The sequence below is a fragment of the Homo sapiens genome, chromosome 19 (assembly GCF_000001405.40).
Source record: "Homo sapiens chromosome 19, GRCh38.p14 Primary Assembly".
In the NCBI taxonomy this organism is placed as follows: domain Eukaryota; kingdom Metazoa; phylum Chordata; class Mammalia; order Primates; family Hominidae; genus Homo; species Homo sapiens.
In genome coordinates this window covers 57,613,220-57,633,116 of record NC_000019.10, presented here as the reverse complement: position 1 = coordinate 57,633,116, position 19,897 = coordinate 57,613,220, and the positions used below count along the sequence as shown (strand labels likewise).

Here is a 19,897-nt window from a genome sequence, read left to right as displayed (position 1 = left end):
TTGGATCAAAGTACTGCCGCTCGACGCAAGGCTTTCTGGGTAATGTAGTCTCCCCCAGGCTGCGACGGAGGGCGCCTTGTGTGCAGACAGCTGGGAGCGCTAGGAAGCTGCGTCTGCTGCCTTCCAGGGCGACTGAGGGGCTTCGGTGTTTGAGGTCTTAAGTAGGTTGACACTTGAACAACACAGGTTTGAGCTGTGCGGGTCCATTTACACGTAGGCGTTTTTTTTCCCCAATAAACGTTACTTCGAGTGTGCTCCTTTTCCTGCCTCTTCCAGCTCCCCGACCTCTTGCCCCAGAGACAGCAAGACCTCATTCTCTTGCCCAGCATGAAGAACACAAGGATGAAGACCTTTATGATGATCCACTTCCACTTAATGATTAGTAAATGTATTTTCCCTTCCGTATTCTTTTATTTTCCTTTTTTTAATTGGGTGTAATGTCAACGAGCCTCTTACAATTTTCCTGATACCCTTTCTCTGGTCTGTTTTAGTACAAGTATAGTTCTTATACTAAAATATATATAATGCATATATCATACAAAATGCATATATCATATATATTATGCATATATCATGCATATATCATACAAAATGTGTTAATCGACTGGGAGTTTATGTAATTCATAAGGCTTCCGGGCAACTTCATAAGGCTTCCGGGCAACAGTTGGCTATTAGTAGTTAAGACCTAGGGGAGTCAAAAGTAATACAAGCATTTTCAATTCCGCAGGGGTCGGTATCCCTGACCCCTGCGTCGTTTAAGGGTCAGCTGTATATCAGTCTCTAGTGTAGAGGTTCACTTCAGTATTTAGACATCATTTCAGATTCCATGCAGCCCACCCCAGCAGATCTCCACTGGTAGTGGGAAGCGAAAAAACGTTATCTTATTGCTCTTCAAATGCATGCAGCCTGAAGTGTTAAAGTCACTTTTTGTAGGTTTTGTCAGGGACAAAAGACACCAGACAGGGCTACAATGGGAAGATAGTGGAGGGATAGTGGGCAGCCCTGAAGCCAACGGACAAGGGAAGTTCCCTGCTTCTGGTGCCCCCAGAAAACGCTCTCCTGCCTGCAAAGTCAGTTTTGTTCATAAAACATGAAGCTTTAATACATGAATGTTCATTTTCCTTGTATAATCAAAACATTTAATTTTTTTTTGAGACAGGGTCTCACTCTGTTGTCCAGGCTGGAGTACAGTGGAACAATCATAGCTCATTGCAGCCTCCACTTCCTGGGCTCAAGTGATCCTCCCACCTCAGCCTCTTGAGTAGCTGGCACTACAAGCACACCACCACACCCGGCTAGTTAAAAAAAAAATTATTGTAGGAATGGAGTCTCCCTATAGGGCCCAGGCTAGTCTCAAACTCCTAGGGCCATGCAATCTTCTTGCCTCAGCCTCCCAAACTGCTGAGATTACAAGCATGAGTCACCATGCCCAGACAAAAGTTTTTAATGCATAAAATATCAAATTATTATCATTATTTTAAACAGGGCCTCACTCCGTCGCCCAGAAAGTTTATATTATTTTAAGGTACATATATGCACATTGTTAAATGTACACATATACATTTTATATATATTAGATAGATCAAATTTTACGTTTCACAATAAAAATGATCCTTTAGGACAAATTAATACCAGTAAAATAAAATAAAATTAAAAGTTGTGAAATGATTTTATCAAATATATAATGTATTTGTTTACACATTTACTACAAAAATTTATAAGTGGAATGACTACTATTGTACATCTGGTTAGATCTCACAATGGGCTTGTCATTGTTTTTAGGAAAAAGGTTAGAGTTCTTGGCTGGGCCTATATTACAGAACCAACCATTACATATTGCTTCACCTCCTACCATGTATCTCCTCTATATCCTACACATGCTGAATTTCCTCAGATCCCTGAAAGCTGTGTGTGCATTCACATGCAGGGATCTTTCCAGGTTACCTTTTTCCTACCTGAGACTGCTGAATCCTATTGTGCTTTAAAAATTCATACTTTCAGGTAATCAACTGAGAAACTAGTGAAAAATGACATAACTGGCTGGGCACAGTGGCTCACACCTGTAATCCCAGCAGGTGTGATTGCTGCTCCCACCTTGGGAGGCCGAGGTGGGCGAATCACCTAAGGTCAGGAGTTCAAGACCAGCCTGGCCAACATGGTGAAACCCCGTCTCCATTAAAAATTCCAAAATTAGTCGGGCGTGGTGGTGGCACCTGTAATCCCAGTTACTCGGGAGGCCGAGGCAGGAGAATCAGAATCACTTGAACCTGGGAAGTGAAGGTTGCAGTGAGTCGAGATCGTACCACTGCACTCCAGCCTGGGTGACAGAGCAAGACTCCAAAAAAAAAAAAAAAAAAAGGACACAACTCTTTATGTCCAAATTCAATGTTTCCATCCATTGCACGTACTCAAAACTTCCCAGTACTCCTCATGAGGTAATGAAGCATAGGTTAAGTAAGTTTTGTATAATTGTGTAAATTTTTCAGGGCCGGGCTTGGTGGCTCATGCCTGTAATCCCAGCACTTTGGGAGGCTGAGGCAGGCAGATCACAAGGTCAAGAGATCAAGACCATCCTGGCCAACATGGTGAAACCCTGTCTCTACTAAAAAATACAAAAATTACCTGGGCGTGGTGGCGCATGCCTGTAGTCCCAGCTACTTGGGAGGCTGAGGCAGGAGAATCGCTTGAACCCAGGAGGTGGAGGTTGCAGTAAGCCGAGATCATGCCACGACACTCCAGCCTAGTGACAGTGTGAGACTCCGTCTCAAAAAAAAAAAAAAGAAAAAAAAGAAACATCTTAATTAAAAAACGAAATGGGCAAAGACTTTAGGTTTAGATACCTCACCAGAGAAGATACACAGATGGCAAATAAGTGTATGAAAAGATAATCCCCATCATATGTCATCAGGGAAGTAAAAATTAAAACAGCACTGAGATACCACTACACATCTATTAGAATGAACAACCTCTGTAACACTGACAACTGCAAATGGTTGAGAAAATGTACAGCAACAGGAGCTCTCATTGCTGACGGGAATGCAAAGTTGTACAGCCACTTTGAAATGGAGTTTGGTGGTTTCTTACAAAACTAAACACACTTTTACCATACAATACGGTAACCATATTTTTCAGAATTTATCCATATGAGTGGAAAATTTATGTCCACACAAAAACCTGTACATGTGTGTGTATAGCAGTTTTATCCAAAATTGGCATACTTTGGAAGCAACAAAAATGTCCCTCAGTAAGTGAATGGATTAGAAACTGTAGTATATCGCCAGGCGTGGTGGCTCACGTCTGTAATCCCAGCACTTTGGGAGGCCGAGGTGGGCGGATCATGAGGTCAGGAGATCGAGACCATCCTGGCTAACACGGTGAAACCCCCGTCTCTACTAAAAATACAAAAAAAAAAAAAAAAAAAAAAAATTAGCTGGGCATGGTGGCAGGCACCTGTAGTCCCAGCTGTTCGGGAGGCTGAGGCAGGAGAGTGGCGTGAACCCGGGAGGCGGAGGTTGCAGTGAGCCGAGATCACGCCACTGCACTCCAGCCTGGGCGACAGAGCGAGACTCCGTCTCAAAAAAAAAAAGAAACAAAGAAAGAAAAGAAACTGTAGTATATCTAGACAATGGAACATTACTCAATGCTGAAGGTAAATGAATCTTCAAGACGTGAAAAAACATGGAGGTACCTTGTATGCATACCACTAAATGAAAGAGGCCAATCTGAAAAGGCAATATACTGTATGATTCCAATTAATGACATTTGAGAAAAGGTAAAAGTATGAAAGAGTAAAAAGATCAGTGGTTGCTGGGGGTTTAGAAGGGTAGGAGGGATGAATTTGTGGAGCACAGAGGATTACTATTTTAGATGACACTCTAATAGTGGACACGTGTCATTGTACCTTTGTCCAAACACATAGAATGTACAACACTAAGAGTGAACCCTAAAGTAAAGTAGGGACTTTGGATGATAATGATGTGTCAGTGTAGGTTTATAATTGCTACAAATGTGCCACTGCGGTTGGGGTGAGGGGCGCTATGCTTATGTAGGTGCAGGGAGTATATGGAATATCTCTTTACCTTCCCCTTAATTTTACTGCAAACCTAAAAGTGCTCTTAAAAACCTAGTAATAAAAAAGATTGTGTCAGCACCATAAGGCAGGGTGGGAAAAAAAGATAAATTTCAAAAAAAAAAAAACAAAACAAAACTGTGGCTGCCTCAGAGCCATATTCTGCATCCTCTTGAAAGATAGTTGGGGATCAAAATTTTCCCCATAGGTGAAGTCACAAGTGGCATACCTTGTAAACCTTTTTATGAGGAGGAATAAGTGTCCAAAGAACAAGTATTTTACAGGATAGCAGTCCATGACCTGGCAATGTGATCAAGGGCAAGGAAGAATATGTTTGAGAAGACAGTTGACAAGGAGGTCTGAGATAATGGCATGTGAATGGATACATGGGTAATTGTGCACATTGGGGAGATTTTTGATGGTATAAAAACCATCACCAGTCACTCTTGAATTGTGCTTTGACCACATGATTTTTCACTTCCAGGCTTTTTGGACACTGTACTGGCTATTTCTTTTCCATAGCACATTTTCTCTGTGTTTACAAATCACTCTCTCTCTGCTGTGCTTTAAATATATGCTCAAATATTATCTCCACTATAAGGACAACCCTGACTATAGAAATTTCCTATAGAAATTCTACCTACTTCACGTGTTCGTTATTACTTGGTGCTGGTATTCTGATATTTTCCATAGAATCTGTCTCTTTATAACTTAGTGTATATTTTCCAATATTTTCTTTATTATTTCCAGACCACATCTCTTAATTTGAATAAAGCCTACTTGAGAATACATTTCTTTGTAGGTTGTTCACTGCTGTAAATACAAATCTAGATGAGCCTCTGAACCAGATAAGATGTTGAGTAATGCTTTCCCTCAACTCTTTCACCTTTGTACTCTCACTCTCTTTTTACTATTTCTTTCCTTCCAAGTTTGTTATTCCTCACCATTCATATGAATGAAAAAATGTCAGACTTTGTAGAAATAAGAATTTCGGCTGGGCGCGGTGGCTCACGCCTGTAATCCCAGCACTTTGGGAGGCCGAGGCGGGCGGATCACCTGAGGTCAGGAGTTCAAAACCAGCCTGGCCAACATAGCAAAACCCCATCGCTACTAAAAATACAAAAATTAGCCAGGTGCAGTGGTGGGCGCCTGTAATCCCAGCTACTTGAGAGGCTGAGGCTGAAGAATTGTTTGAACCTGGGAGGCGGAGGTTGCAGTGAGCCGAGATCGCGCCATTGCACTCCAGCCTGGGCGACAGAGCAAGACATCTCAAAAAAAAAAAAAAAAAAAAAAAAAAAAAAATTTCATAGGAGCCAAGATTCCAGCATAACCAAGGGTTCAACTTACATGTCCCATGTCTTAGAACTGTTTCCTCTATTTACCTTTATTTGTTCCCATTTCACAGATAATTTTCTCTTTTAGGTATGATGTCATTCTAAATGGATAACTCCAGTAATTAATGTTAATAACTTTCTACAATTTTCTAACTTCAAAAATTTTTTTCAGAGATCATCTCCAATCCTCTTGGAGACACTGTCACTGCAATTACAGGTGGAAGAATAAAATGACCATCACTTCCCAGCAAGGAGATGAGGTCATGGAATCCCAAACCTTATTCTCAGAGTTCAGATGCCCATGCCAAAAACTGATGCTACTTTCCTAGTAGCAAATACCAGTTTGGTAAGTAACCACTATTTCTACATAAATGTCATATTCTTCAAAAAGTAGATTATATCTTGGAGAATCCAGTAAGAAATGTTATACAAAAAATTGTAATTTTGAGGTTTAGAATACAAATACTCAGAAGGAACATACTATGAGGGACTCAGAAGCATAGACCACCTCATGCATTTGCTTTAGTGCCCCTAGAATCTCTATTCCATATTTTCTCTTATAACGTGTCTGGATTAGCCTCCATTTCATCCCTGACCTAATACTCTGAACTTCACACAATCACTCGAAGAGTTTATTTGCCTGTGAAGTGAAGAGCAATAAGACAATTTGTTTTACTCACAACTACTGAGTGGACATTTGGCATCTCTGTAGCAATTAATTGGAAATACACACTTTTGCTTTTTTTAAAACCATGATTCCAAAATAGAATCTGTAGGGGTATTTTACTAAAGATTCTCAGACACCTGCGAGACCAAACATTCTTTCTAATTTAGTGTAAGAAAAATATTTGTAAAAAGTAGTAAGTTACAAATAGATAATCCTGAATACAAGGACTCTGAAGCTATAATTGTTAGGCAGATTTGAAAGCATGGTTTGTTTTTTTTGTTTTTGTTTTTTTGACGGAGTTTTGCTCTCGCCGCCCAGGCTGGAGTAATGGCGCAATCTCTGCTCACTGCAACCTCTGCCTCCCGGATTCAAGCAATTCTCCTGCCTAATGTTAGTATTTTTAGTAGAGATGGGGTTTCACCATGTTGGCCAGGCTGGTCTGGAACTCCTGTCCTCAGATGATCCGCCTGCCTTGGCCTTCCGAAGGGCTGGGATTATAGGTGTGAGCCACTGCACCCAGCCACAAGCATCTTTTATAAGTATACAGTAATGTAATTATCAGTGTTTTGCTATGTCCTATGTTGAAGTAGCTCAGGTAATTTTGAATCAGCATAAGTATTTACTGTGTCATCTAGACGTCGTAAGATGGCTTATTCTGGTCACATACACTCTCTGATGAATATCTAGTTTCCTAAAGACTGTAATTTTCTTTCTTTTTTTTTTTTTTGAGGTGGAGTCTTGCTCTATCACCCAGGCTGGAGTGCAGTGGTGTGATCTCGGCTCACCACAAGCTCCGCCTCCCGGGTTCATGCCATTCTCCTGCCTCAGCCTCCCGGGTAGCTGGGACTACAGGCGCCTGCCACCACACCCGGCTAATTTTTTGTATTTTTAGTAGATATGGGGTTTCACTGTGGTAGCCATGATGGTCTCCATCTCTTGACCTCGTGATCTGCCCGCCTCAGCCTCCCAAAGTGCTGAGATTACAGGCATGAGCCACCGTGCCTGGCCTAAATAACGTAATGTTAAGTTAAATCTGAACTGTGCTCCCATAGTACCTCTGTACCAGAAAACCTTGAGCCTTTTTGAAAACTTGAAGTTTGTAAGAGGCTTAGTGTTAAGCCTAATCTTAGGATTTGCAGACTCCTAGTCTTTTTCCCCAATTAATACACTCTTTGTTAATCTCACAAGTTAATTTGGCATGCTTGTATATGGCTTAAATTTATTTCATACATTTTGATATTAAGTAATTTCATTTCTTTCCTTTTCATTAGTCTCTTATTGTGCTTCATCAACCTAATTGTTTGTTGTTCTAATAGTATTTTTTTCAATTTTTACAGTGCTATATAATTTACTGTTTTAAACAAATCTATGCATATGTGGCATATTATCCTCTCTGAATTGCTTACTCTGTAATTTAGACTGAGATCACTATTGTTAATTTTCCCAGGAACAATTTTATTCATTTTCAAATATACTAGGAACTCCATTGCTAATCTCTGTGGTAATTGCTCAATTGTCTTCCACAGCTCTTTAAACCAATCCCAAAAGGCCAGGCACAGTGGCTCATGCCTGTAATCCTGGCACTTTGGGAGGTCAAGGCAGCCGGATCACCTGAGGTCAGAAGTTCAAGACCAGCCTGACCAACATGGAGAAACCCTGTCTCTACTAAAAATACAAAATGAGCCAGGCGTGGTGGTGCATGCCTGTAATCCCAGCTACTCAGGAGGCTGAGGCAGAAGAATCGCTTGAACCCAGGAGGCAGAGGTTGCAGTGAGCTGAGATAGTGCCATGGCACTCCAGCCTGGGCAACAAGAGTGAAACCCCATCTCAAAAACAAAATCCCATTTATGATTATGAAATTCAAAATGATCAAGGCTATTAACATGTTATCCCACACACCAGAACTGTTGTCGAGTTTTCAGTTCACCAATAGGTATTTCCCCTCAAAAATTTGATGCCTTTTACTATTTTATGATTTTTTTTGAGACAGTCTCGCTTTATTGCCCAGGCTAGAGTGCAGTGGCGCAATCTTGGCTCACTGCCACCTCTGTCTCCTGGGTTCAAGCGATTCTCCTGCCTTAGCCTCCTGAGCAGCTGGGACTACAGGTGTGCGCCTCCACACTGAGCTAAAGTCTCCAATTTCATCTAAATTGTCTAAGTCCAATATGGATGAGGCTCTAGGTATAATCCCATCTTGGGGCACAATTCTTCTCTGTGTTGCTGGGGGGTTCGGGGGGGTCTCTGGACATTGTTGGTGAGATCCCAGCCCCAGCAGCATCCAGGTTCTTAACACCATTGAAAGAATTCAGTGACGAGTCACAGTGAAGCAAAGGCAAGCAGCTTTTATTGTGAAGCAAAAGTACACACAAGAGAGAAGTGTGGGAGTGCCCCTGAGAGCAAGTCATGCAAAACAAAGTTTGGGTTTCTAATTGTATGGGTGTTCCTTTAATAGGGGTAATCATTAGGTATTCTGGGAAAAGAGGGGATTTCAGGGACCCCTGATTACCACCCCTCCTCCCTTATTTGGGTTTGCCTGGAAGAGTTACAGACATGTCACCCTGACTGGGGTTCTGGCAGTTTTCTCTTTTGTTTTGGGTTTTCTGTTATCCCACGGTTTCTTTGCCTAGTTCCCGTTTTAGCTGTTGTTTGGGTTTTTCTTTTTTTTTTTCAGCTGCACCAAAACCAGGGTGTTGAGATTTTCCATCCTCCTGTGACCACCCAGTGCTATTCCTGTCTCATTTGGATCTGTAAAACTAGAAAACTAGTTATCTGCTCCCAAACAAAAGGTTGGGAAAGACCTAGGATAATAGTTATATGTATATGCATTGTTTCAAAAGGGGAGGAAATGGAAGGGGGGAAAACAAAAAAAATGGAACCACCAATCCCAAGAAAATCTGAAATCTAGTTTGGCAAATGCCACTGGGAGTCAAGACATGGGAATATCACATGGTTCAGGACTCTGCCCACTGGACTCTCCTCTGCTCTGAGTCATCCTTCCTTTCTCATGAAAGGTAGCAAGGGCTTGCACCTGTTTCCGCAGCCAGTCCCATGTATAGAATATTACAACCTTTAACTTCACACTTTACATGCCTACACCCTTTAACTTCATACTTTCAAGGTCCCTTTAGACCCAAGGTGAGCATTTCCACTGGTATAAAATTTTCAAGAATTTTGTGAGTCTCCTGTACATCACTGAAATTCACAACATTAGAAAAGAGGTTTATGCAGATTATTCCTCCTAGGGAATCCCCTATCTATATTTTTGGCTTTTGCTGAGATGAGTGATAGTTTAAACTTCTTATAAATTGTTTGTATTGAGGGGATCTACAAGTCACATTTAATCTCTTCAAAGAGCTTTTTGTGTGACAGTGTTCTGATGTATGTTTTGATCCCGGTATCAGCAAACATCCTTGGCTATCTCTCTAAAACATCTCTCTCTCTAAAACATCTATCTTTCCTAACAATGAATCTCTTAATTTCAATGGTTTGTTTTTTTTTTCCAATTAAGATGGGCTGAGAATTTCCCAAATCATCAAATCTTAGGTCTTTTCTGTTTCACAGTTCTTCCCTGTATGTATCTCTTTTCCAATATATTTTACTATAATTAGTAAGATATATGGTCACACCTTCAAAACCTCTGCTTAAAAATGTTCTCAGCTAAGTGTCCACATAAAGACTCATGCATCAATATTTGCAGCAGCTTTTTAATATTTAAAAATGGGGGTGGAGTACAGACATCAATTAAGATAAATGGATAAACTGTGGTATATCCATACAGAATATGACTCAGTAATTTTAAAATGGACTGTTCATACATACCATGGACAAATTTCAAATTATGTTGCATGAAAGACAGCATGCAAAATTAACACTTTATAGGCAGACTTACATAAAATTCTAGAAAAGACAAATTTACCTACAGTGAAAACTACTCAGTGGTTGCCTAGGGATTCTGGGGGAAGGCGAGCACTGAGAGAAAGGTTAAGGGCCTCAGGTTAACTTTGGGGGTAACAGATATGTCCAATACCACTGATAGGGTGATAGTTTCAAGTGTGTGTGTGTGTGTGTGTGTGTGTGTGTGTGTGTGTATCAAGACTTAACTCGTACACTTTAAATATGTGCAATATATTGCATGTTGATTACACCTCAGTGAACCTATAAAAAGTTATCCCATTTAAAAATCTGGATCTCCCACTTCTATTGGAAACTGGACAACTGGACATCACTAAGAGTGACTCTACCTCACTATGGTGACTCTTATCACTCCAAATATCTTGGGAAGACAATCTCTTCCTCAGTAGTAAGAAAAACTGGCAAACAATGAGGACCATTGCCAAAAGAGTCACCAGAAACTCCAGCTGGTCACAAAAGCTACTTCCTTGGACCACACCTCTTTACTCCCAGGGTTACCGCCTGTGCCGCAAAGACATTAGGTAAAGAGCCCAGGGAGGGAGAGGAATCTAGAAAAACTACATTCGTTGCTGCACCAGTGACCTTGACCTAACAGTAACATGGCCCTGGAGATCCTGAGATTTCTGGATACCCTGATCCCATTCAGCCTTAGTGCCTGGACTGTCTGTGGATGTGTTTTTACAATGGGCACTTCCCCTCTAGTTTGCCACAATCTCCCCAATCCCAATTACTCACACTCAATATTTATCAATTTTGTTTCCCTACTGGATGCTTTAGATCTTACCAACAGTGGCCTGTGAAACAGATTCAGGCCTTCAGGGAATATGGCCACTCAGCAGGTCCTGAGGAACAGCTTTCCCTCAACAGTGTTGGGGAACATGGGACACATGCTGCAAACAAGACACCCAATCCATGCTGTTTCAAAACACTGCAGGCTGTCACAGCAGCAGCACCCTCCTCAAGGTGAAATATGGGCTCTCAAATAACTCTAAAATCCAGACAAATCAGGTCTACACAAGATCTTAATTCTTACTTAACAAGCTTTGTCAGCTATGGAAGTTAACATCAAAACTGGACTAAGAACTGTTCTCCCTCAACCCACTGTCCCATTTGAGGCAAAGTTGGAGGCACCGCACAAAGGCTGTCTTCAGTTTGGCAGAGCCTGTTTTCAATCCACCCCAGACCATAAGAAGAAGCCCCAAGATTAAATGTGGCTTAAACTGTAAAGCCTTTATTATCACAAACCAGAGCAACATGAGGCAAGTACTTTCCCAGGCCAGGTGACTTGGAGGCTGGAAAAACTTGATTACAAGTATGTGAGACCAAGAATATCCATGAAGAAAGTAAACTTTTTGTATAAGCCACCAGCAGATACAGCTCAGACCCTCTTGGCTAAAAATGGGTCATATCCATACCTATACCTGTCATACAGAAGGGAATGAGGACCCCCAATGAACTCAGGCATTTCATGATTTTCTCCAGGGACTGGACAATACAAAACCCTGCCTTCCCCAATGCTGGGGTATCTTAGCTGGTAGAGTTAAGATGGTTTCGGCCACATGGATTGACAGTGACATAACTCTGGCAAAAAACCTGAGCAAGTCAGAAAGTGCAACATATCCCTAGAAGGTTCCCACGTACCTGGCACCATAAGGTATCTCCTTTGTGTCAATGTTCAGATACATGAAATTCAACATCTGATTGATGAGTCCTGTTGTATTCAAAGCACTCCTAAAGCCTGCCTGCAGTGTGAACTTTCTGGTGCCGATTGAGGTGGGAGCTTAAGCTGTAGGCCTTCCCACATTCACTGCACTCATATGGCCTTTCTCCAGTGTGAACTCTTTGGTGTCGAACAAGGTGGGAGGTTCTGATAAAGTCTTTCCCACATTTACTGCACACAAAAGGCCTTTCACCAGTGTGAACCCTCTGGTGTGCAATATAGTCAGAACTTCGACTAAAGAATTTCCCGCATTCAATGCACTCAAACGGCTTTGACTCAGTGTGAATTCGCTGATGTTTAATGAGGGTGTATTTGTGGCCAAAGGATTTCCCACAATCACTGCAATCATAAGGATTTTCTCCAGTGTGAATACTCTCATGCTGAACAAGTGTAGATTTGTGTCTGAAGACTTTCCCACAATCACTGCACTTATAAGGCCTTGCTCCATTGTGAACTCTCTGGTGTACAATTAGATTGGAGTGATGGCTAAAATATTTCCCACATTCATTGCACTTATAAGGCATTTCTCCAGTGTGGATTCTCTTGTGCTGAGTAAGGTTGTCTTTTCGACTGAAGGTTTTTCCACATTCGCTGCATTCATAAGGCCTTTCTCCAGTATGGATTCTCTGATGCTGGACAAGTGTAGCTTTGCGGCTGAAGGCTTTCCCACATTCGCTGCACTCATAAGGCTTCTCTCCACTATGAATTCTCTGGTGCTGGACAAGTGTGTCTTTGCGGCTGAAAGCTTTCCCACATTCACTGCACTTGTAATGCATTTGTTCACCATGAAATGCATCCCCACTCTCAGTGCTCCTGTGTGTCTTCCTCTTACTGTGGATGGCCTTTTGTTGGCAGCCACCCAAAGTAGCCTGGAAGTTTTTCTGCTCCTCCTTACACGTAAAGGGCTTCTCTGACGGATGAGGTTCTTTGCTAACTGTGCAGTTCTTCACAATTGAGGCCTCACTTTTATCCCTTCTTAAGGGTTGCTCTATACTGTAACACTTCTGGTACTGATGAAGGTTTGCACTGAACCAGAATTGTCTCCCACATGCCCCACATGTGTGAAGTTTCAGTCCATGGTGTGTACCCTGGTGTTCATCCAGGTGCAAAATATCTTTCAAGATGGGGCCACATATGTCACAAGGGAGAGCCGTCTGTGCGGGCAAACCTGCCTTGGAAGTATTAACATGTGACACTGCTATAGAAATGCTCTGTTCAGAAGATGACTCTTCATCCTTCACTTCATGCCAACAACCTGAAGGCAGAAAAATACTATTGATGTACATGCTGACTTTGGTGGGTGGGGCAACTACATCACAAATATGTGTCTGCTGTACCCAGGACTGAGTACCTAAGTTTCCTGGTGGAACAGAGCTAGGATCAGGTTGAAAAAAGGGCTGCTGTACAGTACTGGAATCTAAGAGTCACAGAATGGAGATGGCCTCACAAGAAACAAAGACACGAGGATGGGGTGTAGTACAAGGTCTCCAACTTAATCCTCTGCAATGACTTTTAGCAGGACCTTGGCTGACTGTGGGTGACAGGTGACTCCTATGCGAAATGTGAGTACAGGCCCAGGAAAATGTGATTAAAAATAAGTAACGTGTTCAGGGACTATTTACAGATATGCACACATCTTATGACACAATAGTGTAAGTGTAGTACAATATTGGAAAGCATCGCAGAGAGAGCTATTGCTCTACTAGAGCCCCTCTGGTAGAGAATGGGAGAAGACAGCCCTGGGTCAGAAGTCAGATTAGAAATGACAAGAGTGTACAGAATGGGGATAAAAAGGTAGAAATAAGTTAGGGCCTCTGGCCTTGGCACTTGTGATGGGCACAACATAGGTTTCCGGAACTACAGGAACCCAGCCCTGAGGTTATGGCGTCCCTCAGCTCCCACTCACCAGGGCCTGTCCAAGCCCCTCCTGCTGTGACTAGAGTCATGCCCTCTCAGGCAGCCAGAGTTCTCTCTCTTGTTACAATTCAACAACCACAGAGGATCTGGAAGATACAAAGCATAGGGGAAAGGTGAAACAGGCTGAGAGCACTAGCCAGAGTAGCCCACCCATGCAAAATTGCAAGAAAACAAATGCTACAAAATGAACCTCAGAAAATTGTCCTGCAGGAACAGTGCAGTGGGCCCACAAGTGGTGACCATGATGACTGAAATTGAGGACACAGGCAGACTCAAGGAAATTACAATTAGAGGAAGCGGGTGGAGCCTGGAGTCCAGAGGTGTCATGAGTGTGGACAGTCACCTGGCCAGGGAGAGGCCAAGCAGAATTCACTGGGTCACCTTAGGACCCCTGACCTCCAAACCCTTCCTGGCAAGGCTTCAGGGCAGCAGGAGTTGAGGAACACAGGGAAGAGAGGGGCCAATGCATCTAGCTGAGCCTAGGCACCCAGGGGACCTATGTGAGGGAATCAGAGAAGAGAGCAGTACCCATGCTCTAGCTATGGAAAGGAAAGAGCAACCCCTAGGGCAAAAAGGAAGAGTAGGACCCAGCCCAGAAAAATGGGATACTGGGGCCTTACCCAGGGAGACTATAAATGCGAAGCACAGAAGCCATTATTTCATAATAGAAGAGTCTCTGAGCCTCATCCAGCAGCTCCCATTCCTCCTAAGAGAAGTAAACAAATAAATCCTTGAAGGTCACATAGCCCTGTGTGAGGTGGACAACTGAGCTTAAGGACAGCCTCTCTCTCCAGGACTCCTTGTCACATCTAACTCAAATGAGATAACAGGCCCTGGTGTGATTGGTGCCTGTTCTCGACTCATATTCCATTAATCATTTTGTCCAGCTCAGAACAGGCAAGTGGACAGATAAAACACCATGGGCCTGGTATGTAGGACCCAACCCTTCTCCTATCAGCCAGCTCCCTGGGGATCAACAGATTATTCCTCATACACAAACCTGAGCTAAGCATTCTTTCAGAAACCCTCCATACCAAAGCTCTGGGCTCATGAATTCACACTCCATCTCCATGTGCACATCACCCTTTTGGCTATACCTCCTTTACATCTATGGACACCCACAACACTGGTACCTCCATGGCTTCCCCACATGCAAATCTGCACACAGCATCCAGAGAATGCTTGGATAATGCATCCAGGATTACATCTGGTCCTGATCAACGGCCACACTGCCATGGGTTGCCCTGAATCCACCTATTAAATCTTCCCCTCCTGGCTCTATTTCATGGGTCAATTCAGCAATCCAGAACCATGTGCAGATCCCAGATAAACTCAGCCCTTTTCTGCTTTGTTGTTGTACTACTGAGGTCAGTCACAGGCTTCTCAACATTTAACTCATTCAAAACCTACACTCACTGGGCACCTACCCCAAGCACAGGGATTCTGCCTACTGACCCAATCTGTCCCTGGGCTAATTCACTAGCTTGACTGAAACTCCACAGGTCCCACCAAAGGTCACCATGGAAGCCTGAGGAGCACATAAAGAGCTGAATAAGCACTGGCTCTGGCCTCACTGCCACCTCACTTCTATTACTACAGTACTTCACCTCACATCCACTCTCTGCCTGGAACGCTTTGCCACCTGCCTGACCCTATTATTCCCCTTCCTCCCAGGGACATTTCCCTCCCTCTTCTAGACTCTAAGATGGCCCCTACCTCTACCCTGCTGTGTCTGCCCTTACAGTGTGCTGATGGCACTGTCACCATGACCTAAAGATTCTCTCTCTAAATTGGAAGCAAAGCTCCATCCTGATCCACATGCTGGCTGCCACCCTGTGGATAGCTCCAACCTGAATCCCTTCTCTGAACTTCAGATCTCTGTGTCCAGCTGTCTACTTGACACCTCCACTCAAGTGTCTTTGGAACATGGTAGATTCCACATAGCCAAACTGCACTCCTGATATTACCTCTGAAAGGTACTCCTACCACCAACTTTGTCACTTCAGTTGATGGCATCTTTATATCTTCTCAGACTAAAAAATCCAGGGTCTTCCTTCACCCCTTGCCTTTTCTTTCTCATCTTCCACATCAGAAAATCTGGTTGGTCCCACTTTAAGAAAAATGATTCAGAATCCATCCACATCTCCCACCTCTACAGCGACCACTCTGGTCCAACCTGAACTGTTGCATTAAGCTCCTCAGTGGTATTCCTTCCTTCATCCTCACTCCCACAGTCTTTTTTCACTGTACAGAGGAAGTTGGTTAAGACCAAAGTCAGATCACTCCCTCCTAGCTCCAAACCTGCAGTGGCTCCCAATTCTCTCAGCATACAAACCCAGATCCTCAGGCTGCCATTTCTGGGCTGAATCCTGTCCCTGCTGTCTGATCCCACCAGACATAATGGAGGCCTGAGGTTCCCTGAACACTCCTAGTTTAGCCTTAAGTTAAGTATTTGCACATGCTGGTTCCTATGCCTGAGATAATGTTCCACATTTCATCCCATTGCTTGCCAGAAATAGAAACCCTTCCACATAATTCCAAAACAGAATTTACAACACAGAGCTTTGGGTGACTGCAGGACCTCCAAGAACGGTAGGCAGAAGGGACACTGAAGAGTCCCAGAACACTATCATTCTCCACACTGAGTTGCTGAGATAATGGGGGTGTGTTGGGCTAAGTGAGGGCCTGAGACAATCTACTCTCATCTAGGTAGGAATCATAAGTTTCTGCCACCATGGCAACCTCACAAGAGGAGGGAAGCTGGGAGTGGCAGGTTCCCACAGTGGGATCTCATCGACTGAACTGTTTCCCTAAGCCCTGCCTACCCTGCCCTTTGGCAGGAATGATTTTGGGTTACCTCTCTAACTTCAGATACTCAGATCTCAGTGCTGGCTCCCACCAGCTGTGTGAACATAAAGACCAGCGTCTGAGTGTCCTCATCTTAAAAGTGGGGATAATAATGGCACCCACCTCATAGGGCTACTGTTTGTATCAGGCTTGTCTGTACATCTCAAGTGCCTTTGAAACAGCTACTACTATCCATGCAAATGAACTGATGAGTTTTTGAAAAATTAGGTTTGTTTTGCCTGCTTTAAAGCTTTTAAGAAAATTTGGTTAAGATTTTTCCATTGTAATAAAATACTTCAAGGCAACTTAATATTTTGACCAATCATTAAGTGCTAGTATAAATTTCCCTTACTTTGTACATACATTTTTTAGTTCCTTCTGCGTACTTGCAAGGTGTACACTAGCCCTTGCACTAAACCAGCCTACCTGATACATATTCCTCTGAAGGGGAGCTGCAGTGATCCTTCATTAGAGATGTTCATCAATTCTGCTTACCTGAGGGTTTGGGTAACTGAGGCACCAATGCACTGGTTGGGGATGGGACTGCTCCACAGGCAGCGCCCATGAAGGCATGCTGAGCCTGTAGGGTGGCAAACCTACTGCATCCCTCACCTTGGTCTCCAGTGCAGGCCAGGCTACTTATGCTCTACAGCCCTCTCCTCTTGCTGACACTATAAGATATAATAAAATTCCTCTTCAAAGGTTTAGCCTGTTAACTTCCTTGTTCTTTGTTCTCAAACCTTTCTTGTTCTCCATGCCTCCTTGCCCCTAGTTACTATAAACAACCTTCCTGTAAGCACTAACCAATAATTCACATCTGTTCCCTTACTCACTTTGCACCCATTGCCCCCGCCAAAACCACACGTCCTACACAACTCACATGTCCCACCACTGTAACTCACCTTCCCCTTCCCTCTTCCTTATTTGGAAAATACTCACAAATACCCAATTGGCTCAGCTTAGATTAAGCGGTCCGACCCCAGCCCATGGGGGAGTGACACAGAGGAAGGTAGGGACTATGGGTTAGAGATAAAAACCCCTTCCCTCCTTTGTTCAGTGTGCTCTTGGGATCGTGATTAACACAGGCAGCACACTTGCACAGAAGTAAATTGCCTTGCTGAGAAAACTTTTGCCTGAGTGCTGGTTTCACTTTGCAGCACCAAGCATTGACTTCCAACAACACCATCTAGAATGCTTTCACATGCCAGGACCCCTCCTTTCTGGAAGGAATCTTAAGTGTCCACCCCTTCATCCCTGGCCTTCCACCCTAAACCCACCTCTCACTTCAGAGACCACACAAAATAACTTCCTTGAAATTCCACCCTCTAAATCTGATCTACTACAGGCTTTGACCTTATGCCTCACCCATTGAAGTCTCTAGCACAACTCCCTCTCTAGAACCCCAGACCTGCATGTTCAGCTACCCGTGATGAACCTCCAGTGCAGAACACCTTAGATTCACCAAGTCCAAAACCCAATTCCTGATGCCCCTGAAACGTGCTCCCTGCTGTGACTTACCAATTTCCATTCTTTCACACGTTCAGGAAGGAAAACAGGCCAAAAAAACCCTGGATAGCCCTTTCCTCCCTACATTCACTCACGACCACATCTGATGCGGCAGGAAACCCCATTGGTTCCATCTTTAAAAATCTACCCAGAATCTCATGACTTCCCCACCCAACCCCTCCTGCCACTGCTCTGGCCCAGCCACCACCGCAACACTTCTGGAGTTTGTTGCAGGGACCTCCTCAAACGTCTCCTTGCCTCCATCCTCATCGTTTCTACCTCACTGTAGTCGGTTTCCTCCTCAGCAAACATTGGAATACTTTAAAAATCCTTTTTCGGATCCCTTCCCTCCACCATTCAAAACCCGCCATGGCTCCTATCGTCCTCGCAATGAAGGAGCAACTTCTCCCCTCGACATTGCAGGCCTGACTACGGTTCACACACGCTCCCGACTGCTACGGGCTCAGTCCAGCTCCAAACCTATGCTCAGGCTGCCCCTCTGCCAGTCACACTCGCCCCCACCCACCAGCGCCCCGCTGCCTTGGACACTGGGGCCTGCGCTGCAGGGACTCAGACAGGCGCTCCTCATTTGGAACTTCAGGATTTGGGGCGGGCGAAAGTCTGGGAAAGGCAGCACCCACCTGCGCCGGGCCCATCACCGCGGCCGCCGCCATCACAGTTCGTAGACCACCCGGAGCCGCGAGGGGGTCCCAGGTCGCGGGACCCTGGCACCGCGGTCGTCCGTCCCCGGGGGCGCAGGCGGGGTCTTCGCTGGCGAGCCACTCCGCAGAGCGAACAGCGACTTCTCCCGCACCCTCCCGCTTCCGTCACCTCGGAACCGCCCAGCAACCCCGAGCTTCTGCTCCGATGGTTCCACCTAAGAGCCGACAAGATGTCCACCGCGAGGAAGATACCGGAAGTCCCGCCCAGAGAGCTTCCGTCCGCAGGGAGACGCCCCTAAGAGTGCCGCCGCCGGGCGGCGCACAGGTTTCTGGGCAATGCAGTTCTCATGTGCACTTGGCCGTGGTGACGGCTAACTCCCCTGCACGCTGGGCAAAGGCCAAATGGTACTGCGAGGGGCGCTGAGAAATTATGCCCTGAGACTCTGAGGTCAGGGCGTGGCTTCGCTCCTTTTAAAGGACCCTCAACCAGGTCTTGTGTAGTGAGGTCTGCAGGGATCCCCGAAATATTGGGATATATTCTTACAGATGTTCCCTGAAGCCACACCACCAAATGGACACACAACATCCAATGTCACTCTGAGTCCACTCATAGTTCAGTCAAATTTCCTTCATTTAAAAAATATGTGTACTGTAGAGGGAAGCTTTGAGTCAGTTTTGTGAGCCTCAGTTGGGTCAGAGTTAACAGAGAATTGTCCCCAGGCAGGGCCATGGAGTGGAAGAATGGTCTCCAGACAGTGGCTATGGAGGGATGCTGGAGCTCCCTGAGGCAAGTGGACTAATATAGAGCTCTTCCTCTGGTTTCCTCAGAAAAAAAATACCTGAGAGAACCATGAGGAGGAAGACAGGCGAGAGAAGGTGGTCAAGGAAGGCACCTTTCCTGCCTGTATGGTCACTAATGTCCAACCAAAGGAGAAATATTCTTTTATCCAAATGAGAGTTCCTAGCCCAAAAGTTGAGATATATCTATTTCCTTTTGGTGATGTTTCTTATCTGAAAAGAAGAACCATTATAAATGCTTTTATATGCCAAGACAGGGGCTGAAAATGTGGTGTCTGAACCCAGAAATAAAGATTTGGAAAATTGGGATCAGATTTCTTGGCTGGGAGGTGATTCTCATTTCACCTGCAATTACACCGACAGTGTCTGAATTGAGAATTGAGATTTATTTATGGTTTTAAAAAAGAAAAGGGCGAGTGTATGGGGAAAGAAAGACAAAAACATTTGTGAATTGTTTAAATTACT

The 19,897-nt window shown here is 44.2% G+C and overlaps 1 protein-coding gene across 1 annotated transcript, besides 4 other annotated features; it reads right to left on the bottom strand.

Annotated features, from left to right (window-relative positions):
- Positions 140 to 189: an enhancer, noted in NCBI's record as "active region_15152". NCBI's record gives its function as "activates an Ori minimal core promoter by ATAC-STARR-seq in GM12878 lymphoblastoid cells {active_cell/tissue: GM12878}" and the evidence as "EXISTENCE:reporter gene assay evidence [ECO:0000049][PMID:35858748]".
- Positions 260 to 349: an enhancer, noted in NCBI's record as "active region_15151". NCBI's record gives its function as "activates an Ori minimal core promoter by ATAC-STARR-seq in GM12878 lymphoblastoid cells {active_cell/tissue: GM12878}" and the evidence as "EXISTENCE:reporter gene assay evidence [ECO:0000049][PMID:35858748]".
- On the bottom strand, positions 8,393 to 18,875 carry ZNF134 (zinc finger protein 134). The gene is made up of 3 exons (NM_003435.5): positions 18,614 to 18,875; positions 13,609 to 13,705; positions 8,393 to 12,957 (listed from the first exon to the last, which is right to left on the bottom strand). The coding sequence occupies exons 2-3, from the start codon at positions 13,646 to 13,648 to the stop codon at positions 11,714 to 11,716; spliced, it is 1,284 nt and encodes a 427-aa protein (NP_003426.3). The 5' UTR covers positions 13,649 to 13,705; positions 18,614 to 18,875; the 3' UTR covers positions 8,393 to 11,713.
- Positions 18,621 to 18,670: a silencer, noted in NCBI's record as "silent region_11077". NCBI's record gives its function as "represses an Ori minimal core promoter by ATAC-STARR-seq in GM12878 lymphoblastoid cells {active_cell/tissue: GM12878}" and the evidence as "EXISTENCE:reporter gene assay evidence [ECO:0000049][PMID:35858748]".
- Positions 18,801 to 18,980: an enhancer, noted in NCBI's record as "active region_15150". NCBI's record gives its function as "activates an Ori minimal core promoter by ATAC-STARR-seq in GM12878 lymphoblastoid cells {active_cell/tissue: GM12878}" and the evidence as "EXISTENCE:reporter gene assay evidence [ECO:0000049][PMID:35858748]".

Bases quoted from the DNA above. Each gene is read 5' to 3' on its own strand.
- ZNF134 (NM_003435.5), bottom strand. From the start codon at position 13,648: ATGACTCTAGTCACAGCAGGAGGGGCTTGGACAGGCCCTG. The intron at 12,958-13,608 runs GTGAGTGGGAGC...TTCTGCCTTCAG, and splicing joins AGGGGCTTGGACAGGCCCTG to GTTGTTGGCATGAAGTGAAG.